The sequence below is a fragment of the Homo sapiens genome, chromosome 12, assembly GCF_000001405.40.
Source record: "Homo sapiens chromosome 12, GRCh38.p14 Primary Assembly".
Classification (NCBI taxonomy): domain Eukaryota; kingdom Metazoa; phylum Chordata; class Mammalia; order Primates; family Hominidae; genus Homo; species Homo sapiens.
Window position 1 is genome coordinate 16604083 of NC_000012.12, and position 26568 is coordinate 16630650.

The following is a 26568-nucleotide window of genomic DNA, read 5'->3' on the forward strand; positions in this document are numbered from 1 at the left end:
GGCCAACATGGCCATTCGATTGCCAAGAGGCACCAGACAAAAGATTTTCTCTCCTCCTGCCCATCTTCATCCTCTTCCCAGCCCCCAACCCAGGTTGGAAAACTGGATTGGGCCTAAAAGCTTGTTTCTCTCTGTTCACTGGCCCAGAGCATCCCTACAGGCTGCAGCCCCCTAAGGGACAACAATGCAAATAGATGTCCCCAGATCTCAGGCACTGGAGCTGCTTAACTCTGTTCTGCCCCTTCAACTCCCAGCCCCCTTCCCTATCCTTCACCCCCCTCCCCTTTTTGAGCAATGGAGCTGGGAACCAATTTGATTCCCTTTTTCTCCAATGCAGCTGCAAGGCTCAGAGATACTGACATTTTTCCACTCTTATCAGTTTAATTACAGTTACCATGGCAGCAAAGTGCTAGTGCTTGGCAAAGGCCAACAAGAGATTTGCAAGACTGAGTTCAATTTTGATGCAGCTCACATGCAAAATAAAAAAAAAAAATAAGAAACATACATACACTCTAACAAAGAATCCCTTGCGGAGTTTATGCTCCAGCCTTTTGTGGTTGTGTCTTTGCAGCCACACAGGGATGGTTTGCAAAGAATGTAGCAGTATTTGTTGCATCTAGCAAGATTAATTGGTTTAAGCAGCAGTCTTTCAAAGCAGTTACAACAATAATATTTCGGTTCTTTCAGAAAGACACAAAAGCAGCGGAAAAGCAGAAAGGCTTTTGAGCGGCCAGGAGTGCAGAGCGCCAGCAAAGTGCATCTATGATAGACTGTAACCTTACCAAAACTTTTCTCCTTTTTCTGCATGAGTTGACTTAGGCGTGTCTGAGTTGCAGCAGCTTCGCATTGAGCACCAAACCCAAAGGTAGAAGTAGAAGGGGGTCTCCTTGATTTCGCTTAAGTGTGGACCTGGTGCGCAGCCTACACCGCCGAGGACCGACTATTGTGAAGCCACTTTGGGAGCGGGTCGGAGTGGCGGCAGGGGGTGGGGGAAGGGATGAGGACGGCCAGACAAGACAGGGCGCACACACGGAGCCCCTCGCAGTGTGCAAAATGATGGCGAATGACAAAGCCACATGCTTCCCTAACTCTGCCCGTAATCCTAAAATCCCAGCGGCCCCTTTTAGCTTCCTGGTAACAAATGGATTTGATTAAACTGTCACATGCAGCGTTAGCATAGCATATCATGTTCAATATGAAAAAGATCATAAATCTGACTTGTATTTCATAACAGCAATCTGAGTAGTCCCCGTAAAAAATGTGCTGCATCAGTTTGAATCTCAATCTATTAGGATATAGGCACCTTGGTCCAGGGACCTTCCCTCTTCTAGCCACTTCTGCCCCTACCCGCCTGCCCCCCCCCCCCGCCCCCATGCCCAAACACAGCCACTTTTCCACGGCAAAGGAACAACATTTTGTTATTATGGCTGCGTGGAGAGAGGCAGAAGCGTCAACAAGGACCAAAAGATTGTAATATCAACTCTTTAAGAAGTGGGGGTTCATGAATTCCAGCAAGTAAGGGGGAGGGGTCCGGAAACCCACCCAGGACTGAATTCTTTTCCTATGGGCTGGGAGCAAACACTTCCTAATTCCAAACTCTCCCTGCCCCTCTCTCCCCGGGAGTCAGGGGTGTGGAAATACTGCAGTTCATGGTGAACTTTGACTATTATCCACTCGAGTCGTACTTGAGACGTTCCGCGCCGCAGCCGCTCTCCCTCCTTCCATCAACATCTTCCGCCTGCATCTATTTCATGTCTCATCATAAAAATAATGAAGCCTCACATGATTTAAACAAAACCGTCTCAGTAGAGCTGCAGCCCGAGTGAAAGTTGCAGTGCGGAGCTGGGTTGCAGCTCCAGTTTATGCCTCATTAGCAGAGGTTGGGGAAGAAAAAAATACCCACATCCGCACACGCACGCGCGCACCCGCAGACACACACACCACAAATAAGCCGACGCGTGTGTACACAGTTGCTGCACTTACCTTCTCAATTAAGCGATACAGGGGGAGGCCGTTCAGTAAGCACAGTGGCTGCTTTGTAGCGCTTCTCCTTGGGAAAGGTCAAAAAGAAGCATTGTTTGAAAAAAAAAAAAAAGACGGGGGAGGGAATGTCTATTTTTTTTTAAGTTTAAAATAATGAGGTCCTCAAGGATACGCCAAGCAATGGTGTTGACCGCATCTGAGCCACAGGTGTCCTCCTTTTAGGCAACTGCAGTCCGAGGCTGTCTCTCTCCGTCCTGGTTCAAGACAACTTACCCCAGCAGCGTGCGAGGAGCCGAGCTGAAGGAAGCTCCGGCTCTCAGCTGCAAAATGCAATCCCTTCCCAGCCAGACATAATACAGCCAAAGAAAAGGTCACTCAGTTATTAGTGAGCCGGCGGAGCCCAGGCAGCGCTTGTCAAGACCACAGAGAAGCAGCTCCCTTCCGATTTAAGACTATTTACCTCTCGCCCCCACCCCTCCCCTCTTCTTTCCTTCTCTCCCTCCCTCTCTCGCTGGCTCCCTCGCTCGCTCTCGTGTGCCTGTTCTGCAGCTCAGTCAAGTACAGCCGCCCTCGGAAAGTGCAAAGCAGCCACGAGACAGATCGGGCTTTGTTGCTAATTTCCCAGGGTGAAAATTTACAAGCCTGCGAGTGCAGTCAGCACAACCACATGCATATGCTACTCACAAACGCTGGGGACAAACCCGCACACAAAATGTGACCTCTGCAGGAGTCGACTGAGGAAGGACCCTACCTCCTGGACCAGTCCAAAAGAAGAACTCCTGCGAGAGAGCTCCGGAGGAAAAGGGTAGGGTTCCTAAAATAACCAGGGCATTTTGGAATAGGTGGCTACATTTAAAGCAAATTGCCTTCCAAAGCCATTTCTGAAGCTACCAATTATGGAAATTAAAATAAAAGCAAGAGAATCAAACTGCTACCAGAATACCCTGGAAAAAGCACACAACCCTCCCCTTTAAGAAATGCCTGGAGGTGGCTGCAGTCGCTGGTCTGTCTGTGACTTCCATTCATGAACTCTCTGAAGTCGCTGCTCCGCAAGTCCGCCACACAAGCCTGGTTCAGGGGATCACACACACACTCTCCTTCCTCCCTTCCTCCCTTCCTCTAATGGCCCAAGACCCAAACTGTGAACTTGTTCTCCATTCACTAATGCTGACCCCCACCACCACCACCCCGAAACACACTTCCTGCAATTACTTGAATTCCTTACTATTTAAAACTCACACGCTCCAATGAAAAACAGCCAACAGCACTGAGAAACATGTTTTCAGGACTAACTTGGTCAAAGAACCATAGTTTCTGCACCATTACTGCTTTGTCTTCACAGGCTTGTTTTAAGGCCTTGACAGATTTTTTTTTTTTTTCTAATAGGTCCCATTCTCTCTAACCTCCTCTCCTCTTAACTTTCCTTGGCATCTATAAAGGCCACTGGTAGCTTTAAAATACCTTATTATTTTTCTAAGTTTTCAAACTTCAAAGTCACCCTCTGTTTGGGCTGCTCTTAAAGTACCCTCACCAGATTTTACAAAGCTTTGTCAGAGGTCAAGCTTAAAAATGGTCCACATTTGAAAGACACTCACTGAAATGTTTAAGAGCCAAGAAATATTCAATTGTTGAACTACAAAAAACTTTTTTTCTTCTCTTCACCATCAGTTTTAATCTAGCTCTAGTTTTAAAAAAAAAATCAAAGCACCCCCCCCATGAGTATTTAAGCTAAATTTTGTTTTTCTTCATAAAGAATAAAGGCACAACATTGATAACTAGTTTTTACCCCCTCCCTTTTGAAGGCTCATAATAAAATAGCCTGTGGTTTGCTTTCCTCTCCCTTTAAAAGGCAACAAAACTCAGAACTAACCTGAAAAATAACGATATTCACAGACGGTAGATTAATGAGAACCCCTTAGTTGACTTGTTCTGTACATAGGCAGATTTCTTAAGTTTGGCTTTTCTGGCCCGTCTAGGCAGGCATACATGCACTTCACCCATCCGCACAGCTCCCCACTGTTCTACCCCACCTCTCTGCTACAGCCACTCTGAAAACACCCCAGTATGTGTGAGTGTGTGTGTGTGCATATGTGTGCATGCATGTGTGTGTGTCTCGTGCGCTCTGTCTCAGCCAATGCACTGAGAAGAAGAAAAGAGGGAGGGAGGGAGGGAGAAGTATGTGTGGGGAAAGGGAGAAATAAAATCAAAACAAATGGTACAGCTAATGAGGACAATTAAATTAATTATGTTCAAGGAGATGAGATTTTTTTTCCCTCCAACTGTATGATCTGTTACCCCTCGCTGGCAACTGCTGCTCTGTAATTCATGGCAACTGATTAGTGCATCTATGCAAATCTTTGTTTAAATCATTCAACTAATTAAATGATGGGATTATTCCTCTGCCTACGGTGACATCATTCGCGGTAATTAGTACTCTATTTGGACTGTGGCAGTAAGATTCCTGATATCAACACCAACCTGCAAAGACATTAACCACTTTGTCACCTTTTTCTTAAGGGACAAACACCCAGATCTCTAAGTGCATCCCATCCTCTTCCTTTTTCCCCAATCTTCCTTTTCCTCTCAATTTTACCATTTCCCCCACACTTATAAGCAAGTAATACTGCCAAGCAAGGAGGAGAGAGAGAGAGAGAAGGAGAGACAGAGGAGAGAGAGAGACAGAGAGAGAGAGAGGAACTTAGCGAATAATATGCCAAACCACATGTGTAAAGGAATAAAATGGAATAGTTAACATTCAGCTCCATGCCATTCATTTTCCCCTAAAATGTAATGATAATTAGATGGGTCATAAAATGCTCTTCTTTTCATTATGACTGATGAAATGCATTAAAGCTGACAGGGTATTACCTGACAGTAATTAGGTTTTGTCATGAATTAAATTATTTGAAAGCAGGCTATCTCCCCAATCACGCAATTTACAGCAAGATTTTTTTTAATCTGTGCTACAGAAGGGAGAGAGATAGAAAATAGCAGTTTTTCTCTTCATAATCATATGAATTATTCACAGAAAAAATCATCAGAAAAACCCCGTGCAGATGAAGAGGCTTGCCACTTAATGTACTGCACAGATGTGATCATCAGCGGTTGCCGACAATGAAATATACAAGTGCACACAAAGTGATCTGGTGAACAAGAGGTGGAATTTAATCATCTTCTGCTGACACTTTGCGAAAAACACCATTAACCCTCAGCAAACTCCCTGTTTTCCTGGCTCCCCCCAACCCCAAAGTCTCACCCCTCCCGCGAGGGAAAAAGTGAAAGAAGAATTTGTGCTTTTGTTTACTCAGCCAAGCTAAAGGTTGGATCCAGCCAGGCAAGCAGTTTCTTCATTTCCTGAGAGTAAACTACCCAGTTTAATTACAGATCCTTTGGAAATCTTTGCGAAAGGATTGCTATAAAGAGCCAGATCTTTTTGGTCCGATTACCTTTTGCCTGTGCCCTCTTTCTGCAACTCATCATCAGACGTTTGATGAGAGAATTTACTTCATCCAGCCCCCATCCCAACACTTATTAAAGGAAAAAAAAAGGCAGACTGTCTTCTTCAGGGGTCTTATATTGTGATACCTTGATGAGGGGAAAAGGGGAGGGGAATGACAAAATGGGGTGGAGGAGGGTGCTGAGGGGGTGATTAGATATATACTACTTACCTTTGCCCAAAGGAGATCTCCCACAAGAAAATAGTGTGTATATATGTATATTTCTAAACACGTCTTCAAGTTTTCAGCTGTTTCTTTCTTTAAAACACACCTCACAGATTACTTTTGTGTGCGGGTGTTCAGTTACGATTTCTGTGGCGTCCCAGAGATGCTCCGGTTAGGTTGCCGTCTTTTTTTTTTTTAATTTTTTTTTTAGGGCAGCAGACAGGTTGTTGGGGGGAGGCAAAGGATAGCACACCCTGAAAGTCCAGGAGCAGTGAAAGGTCTCGGTCAAGGGAAGGATGAGGTTGATACTGCCCCCACCACACACACTCCCACCATCACTCTTCGAAATTCAGCAACACAAATGAAAGAAACCTCTGCTTCAGGCTTCCTGTCTTTCTTGTGTGCCTCTCCCTTTCTCACTTTCTTCCCGAACTGCATACAAAACCTGAGTGGGCCAGAGCTGCTCCTCCAGTATTTAAACACCTCGCCAGGTCCCTAGTTAGCAGCTTCCTTCAGCTCATCCAAGAAGCTGACAAGTACTGTTAGAGGAGGCTGTACATGTTGCTCTAATGGACCTCATTAAGTTCTACTTACAGATGTTCTCTTAACATAATTGATCTGCGGTGAGTTGAGAGGACTGCAACTTATTCCCTAGCCCCCAATTATGGTTGGGTAATTAGATCCCCAACCTCCAATTTTTCACATTCACCCTTCTAACATTCCAAAATATCAAAGTATCTCTCACCAAAGCTCCCCCTTACCGGACTCCACTCTACTCACTGTATTGACAGTTAGATCTGCTCTAACCTTTGTAGTGACGCCAGTTTTAATGGTGCATTCAGTCCATTGACAGAGCTGTGTTTTCTCCCCCAGCCTCTCTTCTCCTTTCCTCTCCACACTACCACCCCCACCCCACCCCCTTAACCCTCAGAAACAAAAGGGTAAAAAAAAAATCCTCTAACTTGTATAGTTTGTACTTTTGATAAAAGGTTTCAGTGATGAGCTTTGGCAGTGGTGCTTCCTTTCTAATGTCTTTTTATCTGTATTAATTCCTCAGATGAAAACTTTAAGGAACAATGAAGGAGAGAGGTAGTGCTCTGAAACGGTGAGAAGAAAAAAATTACACAGCACACCTGGGACAGATGAAGCCAAACTAGTGCTTTTATAATGCCAATCAGCAGGGCTGTTATCATCCCTCTAATTAGGAAAGCAGCCTAAAACAGAGAGCACTTGGGGAAATGGTAATGTTATGGTTTTGCACTTAAAAGGAGAGACATTTCCTGCACTGTAAGAATCTAGGATTGGGGCTGACAAGTCCTTTAATTAATGGGCAGGATTCCCTGTGTGTGCAAGTGTGTGTGCATGTTTTAATTCATAAAAGTGGACAAAGGGTGTTATGAGGAGGAGGGAAAGAGAGATGGGGGAGGGAGGGTGAGTCCATTAGGTTGAAGATGAACAGAGTTCATAGCTACATTCATCTTTTTTTTTTTAACCCCCACAGGACTGAGGTGCAGAACTGGAGTGAGCTGTTTTTCTAGGAATTTGAATGTTATACTGAATAAAAGCCCCAGGCCATAAGGCAAACACAAAGTTTGAGAGAACCCATATTTCAAGTTGGCAAACCCCTGTGTCTAGCTTGCCCCTGGTCGCTATCTCTTTGGGTTGGTGTTTCACCCAGCTCCTCTGGGCTTTGCTGTAGACTACTTTCCCACACACAGGTGCCTAGGATTCACTTTCATTTTGCCGTGCTAAAGAAATATGTAGCTTAAATAATTCCAGCAACAAGATTACTCTTACTGGTAAAAAAAAATGTGGACTAGTATCCTAAGACAAAGAGTTAATATTTGTCTTTTTGAGGGTTTTGAAACTGAACACTTTGAACCTGGCAGCATCGAGTTCTCAATACTGTTTTAAATGGCTTTTTAACACTTAGGAGAAATTCTCCAATGGCTCTAAGAGATACTTCTCAATTTTTTCATTCCCTCTCTCTGCTGTCTGCTATTATTCACAGATATGCATATTCCTACACGTAAATACACATAGGGTAGATTGTTTGAGGGATAATTAATCTAAAATTTAGTAAGATCTTATCTAATTTATTATTTCTTTTTTCCAAAATAAATTCAAATGCTCTATTGCCATCTCAGCTATACTAGTGTGTCACCTAAAAATTACACTTAGATATTACACTTACACCAACATACTAAAGGGATGCTGATTTTACAGTAGTCACAGTGATTGATTAAACAAATTTATCTTATATCAAACTAGTGCTTGACTTGTAAGTCTACTATGTAGAATAAATAAGATTCTTAAAAAGAACACACATTATTCATTTAATTTTTGTAGTAGTATCAACGTCTTTTTAAGGGAAACATAGCCTCTGCTTTCAAAATATCACTAAATTTAGAACCCTAAATTTACCCTGGTCAGAAGGGAGCAGCTTTACAATAGTGTAATTTTATTTTAACATTTTGTGAACAAATTTAAGGTAAGAGTAATCCTTAAAGAAATAAATGGGGTTAGTCATTTTCTTATACAGTTGAAATGGCAAAGCAGCCTCCTTCTAATTTAATGGAAGCAGAAAGTGAAACCAAATAATCTAATATTCAATACCTTTTTAAGATAAAAAGAAGAAACTAAAATGAGGCCCCAAGATTAATTTTATAATTTACCAGAGATTATTTTCAGAAGAATTTAAAATGAAATAAATATCATGTTGTTTGTACTCATTTGAAAGAAAATTTTCATCACTTTAAAAGAAAATCACTTTCTGAACAAAGTAGTACATGGCATTCGCATATGCCTCCAAGCAGCTGGGAAAAATATGTAATTATTTTAAATATCCTTACACAATGTATTGAACTATTAAGCAACCATGCCAGGCTTCAATTCCCTGACAATTCTTTCCATGGATAGTATTTTTTTAAAGACAATGAATACTTTTTGAGGAAAATGAAAATGAGTTTTAATTTCCAATAACCTAGGGTGGGTAGTAAGCCTAACAATAGGCAATACTTTACTTCAGTTTGTAAGAAAGAAAGAAAAAAGAAAACAACAGCTAAACAAACAAAACAAAGTTTCTAACAGGCTTGATACCTTTCCTCTGAATCACTCCACAAGAGCAAACTGCTCTCAGTTTAAATCATATTGCATGACAAGTTGTAACTTACATGTGTGTAATATGCTAAATGAGCTTTCAAAATGTTTGCTAATTCTTTACCTATACAGACATCACAGCAGACTGGATTTCATGTAAAATAAGCTAAGAAGGCAAAGTAAAAATGACCCACCTGTCCCTCCTGCAAATTTTGTAAGTTTTCATTCATAAATGGAATTTTCTCTCCAAAATTATACACTTCTGTTTCAATTTTCCACACATTGAACAGAATCATTAGCCACTGCTAAAAGAAAACTTATCTGAGGCTTTAAAATGATAGTGTCTTTTAAGAATCTGGGCCAACCACAATTCTGGCTATTGCCAGTCCCTATTCAATTTGATTTAGAGTTGTTTTATTTTTAAGTTGTAATATTTATTTTTACATGGAAAACATGTGTCACCACTTCATATTTCAGAGACAAATTTAATATGTTTATCTTGGTTGAATTCTTTTAGAAGTTAGATGTATACAATCTAAAAGAAGATGGCACCTACTTTACAATCCTCTAACTATTTCTTTTTGAGTCTGGATACTGTTAGAAAGTTTACATCTTTATGTGGCTGTAAGCCAGGTCTGAGGTCTGATAGGCAATGTAGTCTGCCAAAGGTGCTAAGTTTAATGCAGATAATGGTTGCCCAATCATTCTCTAAGTACTTAATTTTTATTGTGTTTGCATCAAGTAATTGTCTTCCACTGAATCCCATCCCTACCCTCATTCCTCCCCAAGAAATGGGTGGAAAGATTTTTAAGCAATGTTTCAAAGGCATGTTACTCCATTTCAGTTAGGCCCTCTGAACTGATGTAGATAACACAAAGTTAAAAATATCTGCATTTTCCAAGATTAGAGACAATGCACAGAAAGCATCTACTATAGTGATTAGCTTATATAAGCATCTTAATAAATGGTACTAATTATTATCATATTCAATATAGCCCAGCTCAATTTTTTACTCCTCATTGTACAATCATTCTTGTTGTGATCTTCTCTGTTTCTGTGCTTCTTTAACACTTTCTGTAGTTTATTGAAAGTGAATTATGGATAGTCTGTATTCCCTGCTAGTCTAAAAACCTGGGGGATTCATATTTTGTCTTATTTAGCTTTGCATACCACACAGTGCCAAGTAGAGTGTCTTGCTCACAGTAGACATTTATTAAATGCTGATCAAATTGATTTGAATTAAACGAAGAAGCTACAGTGCTAAAGAAAATGTTTATAATGAAAATTTTAAATCTAAGTTATTGACAAAAATAAAAATCTAAGCATAGTAAAGTCAGATGTTCGTTGATAACATTTTGATATTTTAGGGCCGGCACGGTGGCTCACGCCTGTAATCCGAGCACTTTGGGAGGCCGAGGCAGGCACATAACCGCTTCAACCTGGGAGGCAGAGGTTCCAGTGAGCCAAGGTCATGCCACTCACTGCACTCTAGCCACTCATGCCACTCACTGCACTCTGCACCTGACAGATGACAGAGTGAGATCTTGTCTCAAAAATAAAATAAAATACAATAAAATTAGATATTTTTACATTATGCAAATATTTAAAAAGATTTATTACAGCATACTGTAAATGTTGATTTTGTCATCTGTCTTCATGAGTAGACCATAAGTTCTTACAGGCAGAACATATATTTTAGTATCTGCAGGGCACAGTCTAGCACACAGTAAGTACTTAAATGTTTACTGCATGAATGGCAAAATAGAAAAATAAGAAGAAATAGAAAGATTCAATGGACAGTTAATCTAAATAAAATTATCATTACTTAAAATCACTAGCTTTCTGTGACAAATAAGGGAGATACAAAATGGAGGTCAATAGAATTTTAACAGAAACTAGAATTACAAAAGCTTCCTATAATATACAGACATTTAGAATTTTTACAAGGTTTATAGTGGTAAGAATGCTTAGGCTAGGCAGAGGATATTTATTAGTTATTACTATCAGATATCAAATAACACCTTTAAGAGTCTACTTATAGTGATAGAACATCTTAGGTGACATTTAAAAGGATGTAGCTTTTCCTCATTATGTCCTAAAATACTTAAGAAAACACTAAAAAGACAAAATCATGGCATCAAGTCTCAAATACGCTAAAGCAAAGCATCTAGGTGGAACACCCACTAATTACAGTTAGGCCAATTTTCTTGGCACTCTCAGGTTTTATCTCATGACAAAGTCAACACCTAAAGTGGATAGGAAGACGCTTTGTAGTTTTATCATGTTATGCCTACTGGTCTATACCCAGAGTGTATTTTAACCAAAGAAAAAGAATGCCCAAATGTTGATTGTTGAGGCAATTTTAGGTCAATTCTCAGACCTCCATCCGGTTCCCCAACTGCCATCTCACTCCCCATTTAGAAACAACATCTTTCAGAAACAAGTAAGCAGAAGCTATAGGGGGGGACTACTGATTGCTCATTGCATACTGGCTGCTTCTTCCTCCAGAAGAAATGATCTGAAGATGGTGAGAGAAACATCCTAAATACATTGAATGCTGGGACTTTTAGACTGTTGTGTATTATATCTTCTCAGAGTTTCAAAGGACCAGGCAGGAGGTAAAAGAGAAATCACCACTCAGTTAAAAACTAAAAATCATATTGGAATCTGGGCAATCAACTTCCTTTCTAGATGTGAATCTGAGAAGGAGATTTTGTTGCCATTGTTGCCATGCTATTTTTTTGGTCAGAGAGTGTGTCTAAGGACAATCCACTCATCCTATATTCTGAGAGTCACTGAGTTTAGAAAGTACTCCATGTAATGATTTGTAAAGAGAGGTAAAAAGAAACAAAACATTAAGCACCAAGAATTACTGTGGAATAAGGGAAAAATAATTACCAACCTGGAAGCCCAAAGGAAGAATATGTTTTTAAAATTGATTTCTTGTAAGACTCAAGAGAACATTTCTGGAACCTGTTTGCTATGTTCAATAAAATGCAAAAAGAAATGCTTCATGAACCTCCATGGAGCAGGATAATCAGCCTACAAGGAAAAGGGTGAGGTACAAAAGAGGGACAGAAAAGCTAAAAGAGAATTTCAACAAAACTTAAGGTGTAACAGAAAAATTAAGCCACACACTTTAAAAGGTACTGAGAATACTAAACTCTAGTAATGGTAATACTGAAGCAGGAATGAAGTGACAGGGAGGATGGGCTGAGAAGCTGTCATAAAATGTACAGGATGAGGACAAATAGATGAAAAGTATGAAAGGAACATGATAGTTTATAAGACCTATTATGGAGCTTCAATATGTAACTAACTAGTGGTCCTGAATAAAGAATTACAACATAGTAAACAGAAGCAGTAAATAAAAGTATAACAGAAAAATTGACTGTTTGACCTACATATTCAGAATTGATTGACTTTACTAACTTCAAGATAAAATGATAAAGGAGACCCACAAAACTCATATTGAAAACTTCTGAATTGCAAAAGAAACAAATAATAATTTAGAAACTCAAGTATCCAAATAGGGGGGAAATAGGAAAAGAAGCGATTTTCACCAAAGAAAAATGTATCCAGCTAGCTTCAGACACTAACTGTAAATATTTCAAAAAAAGAAAAATAAGAATTTTAAAAGGATGATATTGTGAACCAAGAATTTCATATCTACACAATGTATTTTCTTATGTAAAAACCATTTAAGGATGGTTTGTATGTATAAAAGATCAGCAAAATGAATATTTATGTACATTTACAAAACAAATGACTTGAAAGATTGCTCTAAATTAATCTAAAAGAATCAGATTTTAAAACCCAAACATGGGAGGGTCATGGCACAAAAGGATTGGGAGTTTTGCCTTTATCTATTTGGATCAAAATTTTAGGTGCAATGTTAGATATTTCATCAAGCAGTAGAGTATTTCTGTAATCCTGTGATTTCATTTGATTCTCTTCAACTCCGACCGCTTCCCCATCACCAGGAAATATATTTCTCATGTCTCATTGCAAACCTCACAGTTCAGATGGAGCCTCTTGTTAGGTCCAACGACCTAGGAAACTAACTAGCACTTGCGAGATGTCCAAAATATCATACAGTTGGCCCTCTGTAACTGTAGGTCCCATATCCATGGATTCAGCCAACTACAGATAAAAAATATTCGGAAAAAACTGCATTTGTACTTAACATATACAGACATACTCTTGTTGTTATTCCCTAAACAACTATTGCCATTGTATTTGGTATTACAAGTAATCTAGAGATTATTTAAAGTATGCAGGAAAATGTGCATAGGTTATACACAAATACAACACCATTTTATATCAGTGACTACAGCATTTGCTGTTTTGATATTTGCGGGAGGTCTTGGAACCAATTCTACATGGATACTCTGGGACAACTGTATTTACATGGCTGAGAATTATGCTTGATAGTTTCTGTTTGCTATCTATATGGCAATATATTGTCAACTTTTTAAAATCATTTATTTCTCTCATTAATGAGGCCTTTATCACGACTAGATTTGTTTTACAGATTAGGAAATTTAGGATGCTTGGCCAACTTTCTCAAGACACCACACTAAGTAAGAAATAAATTTGAACTTACATTTTCTGACTTCAAATCAGATATGTGCTCCATATCTTGCCTAACATAGGACTGCTTCATAGATTTTTAGAAAATGGTAATTTGTATTTTTTTTTGGTTGTATACCATCATTTGAGTTGAAAAAAGGAAACAATCTTCATGTCACTTAATACTTCAATCAGTTTAACCTTATTGTTCAACTCTCAAGTGTACAATTATTGTGCATAATGGTATTAATATGTAAAAAATTACTTTTCTAATATTCAGTTGATATGACAGTAGGTTCCAAACTGCTTTTTTGACATCTATTTGTTTGATTACTCTGAATCAGATAGTTTAGCATTACATTTTTTGGAAAGAAATATGAGGACCCTTAGTTAGCTACAGTAAAGCTTTTTTTTAAACAATAAATTTTGATATAATTTCAAACTTACAGAAAAATTGCTGAAACAGTACAAGAAACTCCTATATACCATTTACCCAAATTCAACAATTATTTGTATGCTGCCTCATTTACTTTATAAATCTCTGTCTCCCTCTTCATATGTATACATACATGCAAATTTTCCTTTAAATATTTGAGAATACATTGGAGACATTGTGCCCCTCTACCCTTGAATAGTTTATCATGTGTTTCTGGGAAAACAAGAGCAAAAAATGAAATCTCTATGTTCTCTGAAGTAGTTAAAACCCAATTATAGAAATCAGAAAAACTTAACATCCATAAAATACTATTATCTAATTCACAGTCCATACACAAAATTCATCAATTATCCCATTAAGATCCTTTATAACCCACCCCATTCTGTCTCCATCCAGGATACAATTCAGCATCAGGCACTGCATTTAGTTATCATATCTCTTCTTTTCTTTCTTTATGGAGAAGCTTGAAGTCCAAAACACATTTCTTCTTATGGCCAGTAAAGTTTGGAGGCAGACCAGTTGTTCACCATCCTGGTTTACATTTAGACTTATCTGGGGAAATCTGCAAAGCCGTTTTACTATTCCCACACTACCCTTGCTGACTCAGAATCCCAGGGAAGGAATTGCCCCAGAACTCATATTTGTTTTTTTTTATTCTTCAAAAGATCTAGTCATTCTGATGATCAGCTAGCTTTGAAATCCCTGAGGTCAACCAATGCTAAACTTGGAGAAGGAGAGCAACACTGCTGAGGCTAGCCAGAGAGGCAATATTAGAGAGAGAGAGAGAGAAGAAAGATGACAGGAGAGAAGAGGAATGACAGAGAGGAATCAGAGGCATGTCATAGAAGGTGGAAGCTTTTCCAGTAGGTACTTAAGAATATTTACCCCAAAACGACCACTAGTAAAGACAGCTCTGGAAAGAGTAAAACAGAGACCCTTTTGGCTTTCATAATTTTAAGATATCTGTAAGCAGCTTGTTTCTTGAACAATTATAACCTATTTGGCAAGAAAACATTTCTGTAACCATGTAAATCTGAAGAACAAAATTAGTGTAATTACCTTCTCATCACCTTTAATATATGAAAATTCATCATAAATCTGCAAAAGTACAAAGTATTTCCCCAATTTGCTTGACATCACCTTTCTGGAGGCATGCCTGTTAGTTAACACCTCCACTTCACTGCCTAAGTGACTTTAGAAGTTGCATTAGATTCTGAAAAACTGCACCATGTAACTCAGGTAAATTTTGGTAAAGACATTCATAAGGGCAAAATTATAAAGAAATATCTTTTCTCTAACTGTTTTTAGTTTAGGATTACATATAAGCAAAGAACAGCTAATACTACCAACAAAGTCACATAAGAGTATAAAATCATGAGCAGAATTATACATGAACCATACAAGTGACTAATGAAGAACCATATAAATTGTCAATAGCAATGAAGATGATGGTTAGCCAGATCAAAAAAGATGTATTCTGAGGCAAAAATATACAATGTTGAGACCTTTACTCCTAAATACATAACTGTCTTCACTAGAAGATACAAATATCAAATTTTAAAAACTTGTTGTATTAAAAGCTCTTCCTAAATCCTCTTTGAGTTCCTATAATTTAAAAAAATTCCATAAAGTTAAAAAAAGTAAAATCTTAAAGCAATAGTTCAAAGATCCAAGCCACCTTTGTTTTTCCTCCAATAAGAAATACTAGAGTTGTTCCTATAGAGCCCAGTCATTCAAAATATTAAAAAATAGGGCTGGTATACTTGATTATCTCCATAATTGCTGCTTAAGGAAAATATACAGTTTTATACTTTTAGGAGTCTATTGTGTTTATGTTATTACCATATGATATGACAAAGTGAAAATTAAGAAGCAGCTTTAGGTTGGCTGTGCTCAGCTGGGGTGGTTTTCTATTTTTTGTGCTATAGCTGAGGTTATTCATGTGCTTGCATTTAGTTAGGTCTCTGCTGGTCATGGACTATCTAAGATATCCTCATCTTCCAGGGTCTTTCCTCCATAAAGTTCCCCTTTAGTTCAACCTTCTTTACAGCATGGCAGCTGGCTGCCAAGAAGAATCATGCCAAGAAGACAAGTCCCAGTGTACAAGTATTTATTTGTCAAGCTTCTGCTTGCATCACACTTGCCACTGTCCCGTTGGGCAAAGCATGTCACATGGCCAAGCCTAGAATGGGAAAGAACTATACCAGAGTGTGAATACTATGAGACATGGTGCTTTAGAAGCCATCAGTGTAACAGCCTGCCAAGCGGAAGGGTTTTAGATGCATTTCTGTCTGTGCTGGCTAATAATTTGCATCTGATTATCCATCTTCAAATATTGCAACTCTAGACAAGGATAAAGCAAGAAACGAAGATAGGTATATATTCATAAAAGTGCTTAGAAATATCCATCAAGATATATAGATTTTGTGGCTAAATATATTAATTACTCTAAATGGAATCACATATTATTTGATTAGCCAAGATTAGAACTGATAGTTGAGCTGTTTCTAATATGTTGACTACTAAAAGTAATAGCACAGCTAATATCAGAGTGTAATAAAACAGAAACATTAGGCTAGGACATAGGATCACATAAGTGTCATCAAACTATGTACCTATAAGGGTATCATTTAAGTTCTTTAGGCCTCAGTTTTTTATATATTAACACAAATGTCTTAAACTATATTTTTTCTTAGCATTTTTTCAGCTCTAAAATTTGCCACATCTTTAAAAATTCTTTAAGTATTATTAGCAACACAAACACACACACACATACAATGTCACCCAAATTCCCTCATTAATCAGTTAGCTATGCCAGGGATTGTGAGAAATATGTAAACGTTAATTTGTGGTTATTAAAGATTTAATTCAACTAATTGGGCCCTGTTAGTTACCTATTAAAATCTCAGTCACAACCGATAACATGGTCAAGAGGGTGTTTCCATGGTCTAGGTTCCCCTGGATATTACCAGATAGCATCATGATTAGAAATAAACAATAAACAAGGTTTTTATTGGGGGGGGGGAGGCTAAGGATACTCTGTATAAATGTGTAAATATTATAATTAAAAGAAGAAAAAGGGAGGTTACAATGTCCTAATGTACTGGGAGCTAAGGAGTGCTTGTAATCTCTGGTCATCAGAGATGGTGTACAAGAAATGTTTCTTACTTTAGAATTCTTCTTCCCAGATTTTTATCCTTTTCAACACAATGAGGCGACTGAAGCAACAGAATATTCATAACTCCTCCTCCTCCTCTGCCCCTATTAATTCTTTCCTCCTCCAGCCATTTAGTTTAGATTTTCTTTTACTCTTACAGACAAATCACCCGAAGTTTACGGCAATCTAAGGCATTAGCTGTGTCTACAGATGAGCTGATACTTGCAAGACAGAACTTTTGTCAGATCCATAAATTGCTTTCTATTGTTCCTTTCTCTAGTGCTCATATTCTTGCCCTTGGACATTGCTAAATAGTTATTCTACTTCCCATTTGTATATATGGCATCTCCAAATAAGCTAGTTCATTCCCCTCCTTTCCTACCTCCTTATATGCCATATCCTTCATACTAATTGGTCCATCCTTCTGAGAAGGTAAGTTCTACATGACATATAGGCTTTATGGAGTGCTGAAATATGCTTTGCATCCACAGTGGAATTTCCATGCAGGATTTTTTTTTTGTCTTGGCTCATTGATTATTAAATCAAGTTTTCTGTGTCCTGAATTGAGTCTTCTACTTCTTTTAGGTTGATCTTGCTGTGAAGTAAATACTGTATAGAGTTGTCTGAAATAACTTTCTAGGATGATAGGCATGTTCTCAATTTGCATTGTACAATACTCTACTCTCTAGCCACATGTGGATATTGAGCACTTGAAATATATTTTGTGTGACTGAGAAAGTGAGCCTGTATTTTAATTAATTTTAAATTAAATAATTATGTATGACTAATAGCCACCATGTACTGGTAGTGTAATGGCAGAGAGAGTAGCCATTTTGCACTTTAAGAGTTATTTTCTTGACTTCCTGACACAGATATTTCTTACACATGGAATGTCCAGCCTTAGAAAATGTTACCCAGTCTAATAGATCTAGATCCAGATTTATCTTCTACAGAGTATCTTCTTGCCTTTGAGTCTGTACTGATCCTCTTTTTGTTGAAACATTAAGTGTACCTTGCCTCTGGCACTTAGAGCAGACTATTATGCATTGTAATTTATCTGCATCACAAAAGTGTGATTTTTCTCCATAATCAGATTTAAAACTCTTTGAGGTCAGAAACTCTAACATTTCTTTTGCATTCCTCTTGGCAACAAAGCATATGCTGGGTACCTGGTTGTTGCTCTGTAAGTATTTATTGCATGGATAAATAAAGTAGGTTACATCAGGGAGTACGGTGACTGGGCAGATGGTGTCCAAATGACAAAAGCCCCACTTCTTCCTGCTTGAAGTGATGGCATATTTTGATAAATTTCCCATAAGGTCCTAGAAAAGTATCTGAGAACTAGAATATGCACTTAAGGAGGCTGGCAAGGAGAGAGCCAATTTCATGGAACTTGCAACGTGTAGTTATACAACTGCAGTATGTTGCATACAAGGGCCTCTCTGATTTCCTCCCAGTATAAAATACACTTCAGCAGAACAGAGTACTGGAGTGAAATTGTAAGCTTTCTCTCATGTGTGTAGAAAGCCACATGGTGGCTCCCACCACTAGTGATTTCAGATCTGTGTAATAGTTCTGGTTTGACTTTTTACAAGTTCTTGAAATTGTTGGCTATGTTATTCGTATATACTGTGTAGTCAAACTGTTAGTGTAAAGACTATTTTCCTGAACTTTCTAGAGCTGAGTAGGATAAGAAAACAAAATGATAAAGCAAGGAATACAAACAATGCAACACACTGCTAATGATTTTAAATCATGCAGACAAAAAGTTTCTGAATAGCTCATGAAATTCTTGATATGTTTGAAAAAATATACCATTTGAAGTAACAATACAGTGTCACTAACATTTTTGAAAATAGTCAACAATGTTTAGAATTTGTTTATACATATGGCATGCATTTTAGATGTAACAGCCAGGAAAATCTCATTATTGTAGACTTCACTGGAAGATCTCTGAGGTCCCTTCCAGCTTTAAAATGCTGAATATAATTCAGAATTTATGATAATTTGAACTAGGCAAGGCTGAAATTTACTTTTGTATGATCTATGAAGCAAGGATTTGCTAATAGTGTAAACAAGATTGCTTGAGGCTTTTAACCAAGCCGTTTTTAAAGATTTTAACACGTTGTGTGATACAAATGGGTCTAATTTCAAATGATTCCCACCTATTTATTAAAGCACGCAATGAAAGACTGTTACTTAGAAGTGCTTTTATTAGCAGCTAAATGTACACTGTGAATTTGAAAATAATAAATCTGCATTTCTTATTAGAGTATATGGTTTGTGTTTTACTTAATTCTGTTTGGTTTCTCTAATGGTAGAAGATATCAATGAAGGTTTTCTGTAATTAGAAATGACTACTTCAAATACAATTGTCTATTTCATTAGTTTATTTTTCCCCTTCTTACTTTATGCATTCTTTATCACCTTGATCTATTTAAAAATATATTTATGAGGCACTGATATTTCACAAGCAATGTAATTACTCTTTGAGGAATAATTAAAAACTTAGGGCTTCTTAAATTTGGCTGTAATTCTGATATCTATTTACAATTATTCAAGAGTACAATGGATTAATATAGAAAGTGTAAGATTAGGTTGATTCCTGTAAAGCTTTAATTTTCTTCTTCAGCATGTTGTCATCATAATTTGTTTCTCTTGATTTTAAAACAATTCTCTGTGTACATAAAGGCTAAGAAATATTCTGTACTTTACTATGAAACTAAGATTCTACTCTAGGCAAAAGAGCTTGAAAATTTACTTCACTTACAAATAGCAAAAATCCTTCTAAAGGCCTGTAGAGATAATACATATAGTATAATTTACAAAAATGAATATAAAAAGATTTACTTTGTAAAATCTTATATACAGTTCAGAATGATAATTTGAAATTGAAATTGAATTTAAAACACAATGTAGGAAATATTTGATATCACTTGCTGTATGTTGACAAAGCTAAAACACAAAATCATTTCTATTAGAAGATGTTTGTGTAAAAATCTTTATGGTTTCCCTTCACAAGTGTATTTTTAAAATGACATATTTTTGTAGCATGTAGGATGGTGGTATTTTATAACACCATTTTCTAGATTCTATAGTCCATGTTTATACTAACAGAGAGTGATGCTATAATAATAACAGTCACGATTTACTGTAAAACTTTTACATCATAGTCCTTTGAACATATAAAAAACTTTAAAAACATGTATTATTGTATACTTTAGTTAAATAATATTCACTAAATATCTAATGTGTTGCTTAACCTGGCCTAAATATTCTGTACTATCATCCTTAATCCTCACAAAAACCTATGAAATAAGAACTATGATCATCTCCAAGTTATAAATGGGGAAATTGAGGACTTGAAGGAGACAGTAACTTGCATAAGAGATTCACGTGGTTGAGAAAGCATTTGAATGTACATGTCTGACTCTAAAACTTGTAACTCTAAAACTCTTACCCCTCTAGTTTTTCTGAGTAAAGGGTTTATTTTCTCATGGTGTCGCCCTAATCACCTTAATGCCTTAATATCTCCATATATTAAATACAAATTTCATTATTGTTGCTAAAGAATGGGAGCTCTTCTTTGAAAAGGGATGGAATTACTCTATTTGAAAAGGTGAAGAAAGTAGTCTAGGGTATTAAACGTTTTCAGTGGTGGCTTAACAAAACTTGAATACAGTTATTGCCAAGTTATTTTGCTCACCAATCCAAGTGGGTACTTTTGAAATCCCATCTGGTTGCATCTACTTCTTGTGTTCCATCTATTTTTCAATGTTAAAAATTTCATCTGAAATTCTTTATACCAATGAAATGATTTCTTCTATCTCATTCAATTCAGGACTTCTGCCCCATGCCAATTGGTCTGAGATGGTAAGTTTCACTCATTACCTCTTAGCATAAAAGAAGTGCAATGATGTAGAAAATATAATCTGTTGAAGAAATATTGGTTGCTAGAGATTCCCATATATGAGGCTTAAATTTTAGTGATCCAAAATCCTTTTCTGTTTCATCTTTTTCATTTTGCTTCCTAAAATGAGTATTACTTCAGATTTTGCAGTAAGTACCCACTAAATGCAGATAGCACCCAATTCAAAGCAATCTCGGTTTTGACGCTACCATTTTAACCCCAACAGTGTTTTGGTTGGGTGAACCCTAATAAATGAAATCGCTAGGAATAATCAACACCAAATAAAACAGAAGGACTATAACTGCACAAGAAATAAAATGTGACTAAATAAAATTGGATATAGTATAAGATCTTATTGAAATATTCATCTATAATGTTCTATCCAGGAAAATTTGTCTTAGTAGAATAATCACCAAAAGCAAGCAATCAGAAAGTCTAAACATTAAGACATCTTTATATGAGCAAAACTGATTGATTAATCAGCTTTCTGTCATAAAATTTACTGATCAAAATTAAAATATTTTCAGTAAAAGAAAAATGGTAATTGACAAGAGGAAATTATTTAACTATAGTCTGTAAGAAGTTGACCATTGGATTAAATTGGTTCATGGATTTACTCTAAATAACCTTCCAATAAAGTTTATAAATATTTCAATAATGATAAATTATTTTATCTTATTAAAAAATTGTTTTAGATAGGCGCTTGCTCTGTCACCCAGGCTGGAGTCCAGTGGACTGATCATAGCTCACTGCAGCCTCAGCCTCCTGGGCTCAACTGATCCTTCCACTTCAGCCTTCCAAATAGCAGGGATTACAGGTGCTCACCACCACACCCTGCTGAATTTTGTATTTTTTGTAGAGATGGGACCTTGCTTTGTTGCCCAGGCTGGGATAAAATACTTATTTTTATAAATAGAGATTCAAAGTATCAAAAGCTGTAAAAGCACCAGGGTTGAAATATTTTGTGTTTTCCTCAAATCTATTGTTTCCATTCCTAAATCTATTTATGAAATGAATTCAATTATGATAAGATTTGTCCTATCAACTCATAGCGTTTTTGTGAAGATCGAATGAGATGACAACTACAAAAGTACTTTGTTAAATTTAAAGCATTATTTAGTGGTACTTATTATTTTGAACTGCCTGTTAAACATTCTTTGTTGAATGTATGACACAAATCAAACTTATGGCATTTTCCCAAAAAGTGAAACTCTCTCTATGACTTGCCCACCCTGTCAATGATACTACAATTCTAACGCTTCCTCAAAATTCAAGGGTTGAAACCTCAGCATTTCTTTTCTTTAATTTTTTAATTTTTTTGAGTTCCTTTTAACTCCTTTTCTATCATGATTATACAAGCCAAATAGAGCCAAACAGTCTAATCAACCAGACTATATGTGATAACCAAATTGTTGTCACATCTCAACTGCTACTCAGTTATAACTTTATCTCATTTTTATAATAGACATATTTCTGAAAATGTGCAGAAATTGATTTTTTTACAAATGAAATTTTATTCTATATACAATAAAGTGATTTTAAGGAGTTCTACTTTGAAATTTTGCGTAGAGTGAAAAATTCATTATCACTCTAGATTTTTCTATATGTCATTAAAACATGACATGCAAATATTATTTTCCATTTTCAAAGAAACTCTTGCAAAAGACATGCCAAATGTGGTTCATTGAAGATTCTCTTCTCTGGCAAAGCTAGCAATTCAATGACCCATTGAATTAGTGTCATTGTGGTTATGTGGTTTGGTTTTCTGCTTTATATTAAACCCCAAAGCTTTAAATAAATGAGTGTGATTATTTGAAAGTTTTAAGCAATAGTAAAATAAGGGCAGAGAAGAAGGAACAAAGAGTTATCCTGTAATTTATATTTGAGACAGTATGGATGACATTTAAGATATAACTGTAAGAAGCAAATTATAGTGACCATAACTCAGCTGCATGATCAATTTTATTTTCAGTGGGACTTGGAATAAAATAATATAACTCAGTAGAACAAATTTTGTTGCCCAGGATAACTGTTGAGAGTATTTGAATTCATTGCATGGGAAAGAGGCATCTTAAAATTTTTTAATGATAAAATTTTAAAAAAATGGTAATCATGCATGTTATTAAAATTAGTGCAATAGAGTCATCTTAAGCATTGACTTTCCTATGGTAGGAAGTTTTTATTTGAAGAGTTTCTGAGGATTATTTTGTCATCTCATATACTCCTTAAAAATTTCTAAGAATATCAGTGAAACCACATGATGCAATTATGGTCAACTTAAATGACATGGTCATGGTTCAATGACAGAGGTTAATTGTGCATGTAAGCTTTCCTATGTAACTACTGAAATTAAAAGCTGATAGACCTACGTTTTAATTTGCCCAGGTTTTAGGTATTTCTGTGTGTCTACTATAGTAGAAACAAAATTGACATGTGGAAAATATTACAATATATTGTAGTATAATTCTTTAAATATTTTAATAAAATCTGGGACTGGCCATACATTAAAATACAGTTCAAGCCTGTAATCCCAGCATTTTGGGAGGCCGAGGTGGGCAGATCACAAGGTCAGGAGATTGAGACCATCCTGGCTAACATGGTGAAACCCCGTCTCTACTAAAAATACAAAAAATTAGCCAGGTGTGGTGGCAGGCGCCTGTAGTCCCAGCTACTTGGGAGGCTGAGGCAGAAGAAAGGCGTGAACCCGGGAGGTGGAGCTTGCAGTGAGTCGAGATTGCACCACTGCACTCCAGCCTGGGTGACAGAGCGAGACTCCATCTCAAAACAAACAAACAAACAAACAAAACAAACAGTTCAAAATATATGAAGACATATAGACTAGCAGGACAAGCCATGTGCAATTAGGTTACAGCTTCTAAAATGAAAAATGACATTGTATGGATTTCCACGTTTCTCTAGGAAGAAAAAAAGAAGCAAATAAAATTAGAACAAAAATTTTGTATTACTCACCCAAAGCCACTGTGGACCAAGTGGCATCAGAGTGGTACAAGCAGCACCTGGATCCTTAACGCCTAGACTAGGTATGGAAAGAGACTAATTCACTGGCTAATAACATTAATATCTGAACTGGTCTTAAGAGATAACATACATTAGCATGTTGAATCACACTGTTATTTTCAAACTGTAGGGTTCAAATAGACAGTGATGATAATGAAGTTTAGCTCAGTCCCAGAAAAACACAGATATTTTTTCATAAAATGGTTGAAGGTTTTATGACTAAAATTATGCTGAAATGTGTTTTTTAAGTTTAAGTGATCAATTCTTCTATGGTTAGTTTCCAGTGCAGTTTAGATTTCATAAAAATGTTCTTTTTAAAATAAAGGTAATTCAAAAGGTAATTCCCTTTTGAATTATTTTTGTGTAATTAACTTCACAAATGAGAAAGAAGAAAAACAGTCTATTATCAAACCACATATTTTGGTTTTAGGGCCAGAATACATGAATATTTTATCCATAGCCTAACACCATATTATTTTAATATTGTTTTCATTAATTATTGACATATATAATACCCCTTAAATATTGAAGAAACTATAATCTCTAAAGTCTTGAGCTATTATTTTCTGTTTGTAAACAAGAAATGTTTAAAATCTGAATTTAACCTAAACCAACCGGGCACAGTGGCTCACACCTGTAATCCCAGCATTTTGGGAGGCCAAAGTGGGAGGACCACTTGAGGCCAGGAATTCAAGACCAGCCTTGGCAACATGGCGAGACTCTGGTCTCTACTAAAAATTAGTCAGGCGTGGTGGCACGTGCTTGTAATCCCAGCTACTCAGGAGGCTGAGGCAGGAGAATCACTTGAACTCGGGAGGCGGAGGTTGCAATGAACCAAAATTGTGCCCGACAATTTTGTTCTCCCACAAAAAAGAAAGAAAGAAACAAAAGGAAGGAAGGAAGGAAGGAAGGAAGGAAGAAAGGAAGGAAGGAAGGAAGGAAGGAAGGAAAGAAGGAAGGAAGGATGGATCACCTAAACAAGGTGGGTGGGATGAAAAACATTGGCTTTTTTCAGTCTTCAGTGATATCTTTTCTCTTTTCCTTCAAAACTTCTCTTCCTATGTTCCTTATGCCTTTTATTCCACAGGACTAGAAAGCAAGTGCTGATGTTACTTTCTATCTGTCTGTCTGCCCTTTTGTCATTGTTCTCATTCAGGCTCTTGGTATTCTTCAAGAGAACTATTAAACTCTGTGCTTTTTAGGCCAGGCACGGTGGCTTCTGTCTGTAATCCCAGCACTTTGGGAGGCCAAGGCCAGCGGATTGCTTGAGCCCAGGAGTTCGAGACCAGACTGGCCAACATGGCAAAACCCCGTCTCTACGAAAAACACATAAATTAACCAGGCATAGTGGTGCACACCTGTAATCCCAGCTACTCTGGTGGCTGAAGCACCTGAATCGCTTGAACCTGTGAGGCAGAGAGTGCAGTGAGCGGAAATGACTCCACTGTACTCCAGCCAGGGTGACAGAGGCAGACTCAAAAACAAATGAACAAACAAACAAACAGCTTTGTGCTTTCCACTTTCACTCTTGCTTCCATTCCCCAATTTATGAACTATTTTGCTACCAGAATTATCTATCTAAAATCTGAATCTGATCTGATTACTTCCTCTTTTATTACCTTTCAATACTGCTCTCAGGTAAATGATCACCCGCCCCAGACTTAGCTCCAATGACTCCATGCCTCACAATGAATAATCACAGCGAGTTATATGGCCCTCCATCATGAGTCCACACCACCTTTGGTGTGTATCCTCCTACCATATTATGCCATTCGTTAAGAAGCAGGGATTTGTTTTTTAATGAGCTTCTTTCTCTGTCTCTTGCAAATGTGAACCGGCCCTGGAATTTTTCATAAGCCCCTCTAGGGAAATGCTTTAAGGGGAAAAAAGAGGGGTTAGCACTATCTATAGGCACTTGCTGTGTGTGAACTTCTTTACATGACTTTGCTTAAGACCTCACAGCCACTTCATGGCCCAGGTATAGTTTTTATTTTGTGAATAAAAAGACTAGAGCTCAGAGAGTCTATCTACATTGTCAGAGATGATACCTTTGTCTAAAAAGTAAAGCCTAGAATCAACCATTTGATTTCTAGAATAAAAATCTTTGCACAGTACCTCACCCAGGTTCTAGAACTGTGATATGGGCCAGGAGCTGCCATTGGGCACATTAGGTTAGTGTATCCTCCTGTGATTTAATCACAACACAAAATAGATTTTCGTCTTTGAGGATTTCCACAATGACTTCTCACTACCCCCACAGGCCACAATGGGCCAATAGCCTCCACACTTTGTACTTTGATATTTTTGCTCAAAGGTGCACTAAATCCCAGTAGAGCCCCTCTACATGAATCTTGGGCTAGATCCTGTGCGGGTCCACATTCACAGGGCAACCCACTCGGAGTAGTAGGCTCCAATTCACAAGTCAAACACATATCACGGGAAATATCAGTAAATTGTACAAATTTCAGGATCCAGAGAAAACAACGTATGATCCTTTGAAAATCATTTTTTGAAAAATGCAATGTATATAACTTCAAAACTTTATGCAGAGTATTTGGCTAAAAAATATATGGACAGTAGATTTAATTTATAATGTTAAGACAGCTTTATTTATTCATTGTTTTGAGAATGGACATGAATACTTTGACATGAAGATGGCCAGGACATGGCAAAATGAGGCTAGACAGAGAAAAAGCACTGTGCCCATGCCTTTGTCAAATGTAGGATCCAC

General features: G+C 37.3%; 1 protein-coding gene across 16 annotated transcripts in view, besides 2 other annotated features; it reads right to left on the reverse strand.

Annotated features, from left to right (window-relative positions):
* LMO3 (LIM domain only 3) overlaps positions 1-6092 on the reverse strand; it is a 61803-nt gene extending 55711 nt beyond the window's left edge. For 3 of the 16 annotated variants that reach the window (NR_045013.1, NR_045012.1, NM_001243609.1), the window contains exons 1-2: positions 3854-4132; positions 1984-2050 (exon numbers count right to left, since the gene is read on the reverse strand). Coding sequence is in view for 4 of the 16 variants with exons in the window: in NM_001243612.1 (NP_001230541.1) it covers positions 1686-1731 (46 nt within the window). In the remaining 12 variants the exon portion in view is untranslated. The other 13 variants (XM_047429156.1, NM_001243611.1, XM_047429155.1 and 10 more) reach the window with 10 other exon arrangements.
* Positions 514-1014: an enhancer, noted in NCBI's record as "H3K4me1 hESC enhancer chr12:16757530-16758030 (GRCh37/hg19 assembly coordinates)". NCBI's record gives its function as "activates a minimal SCP1, AML or CMV promoter by ChIP-STARR-seq in primed H9 embryonic stem cells {active_cell/tissue: H9 hESC(primed)}" and the evidence as "EXISTENCE:reporter gene assay evidence [ECO:0000049][PMID:30033119]".
* Positions 5903-6402: an enhancer, noted in NCBI's record as "H3K4me1 hESC enhancer chr12:16762919-16763418 (GRCh37/hg19 assembly coordinates)". NCBI's record gives its function as "activates a minimal SCP1, AML or CMV promoter by ChIP-STARR-seq in naive H9 embryonic stem cells {active_cell/tissue: H9 hESC(naive)}" and the evidence as "EXISTENCE:reporter gene assay evidence [ECO:0000049][PMID:30033119]".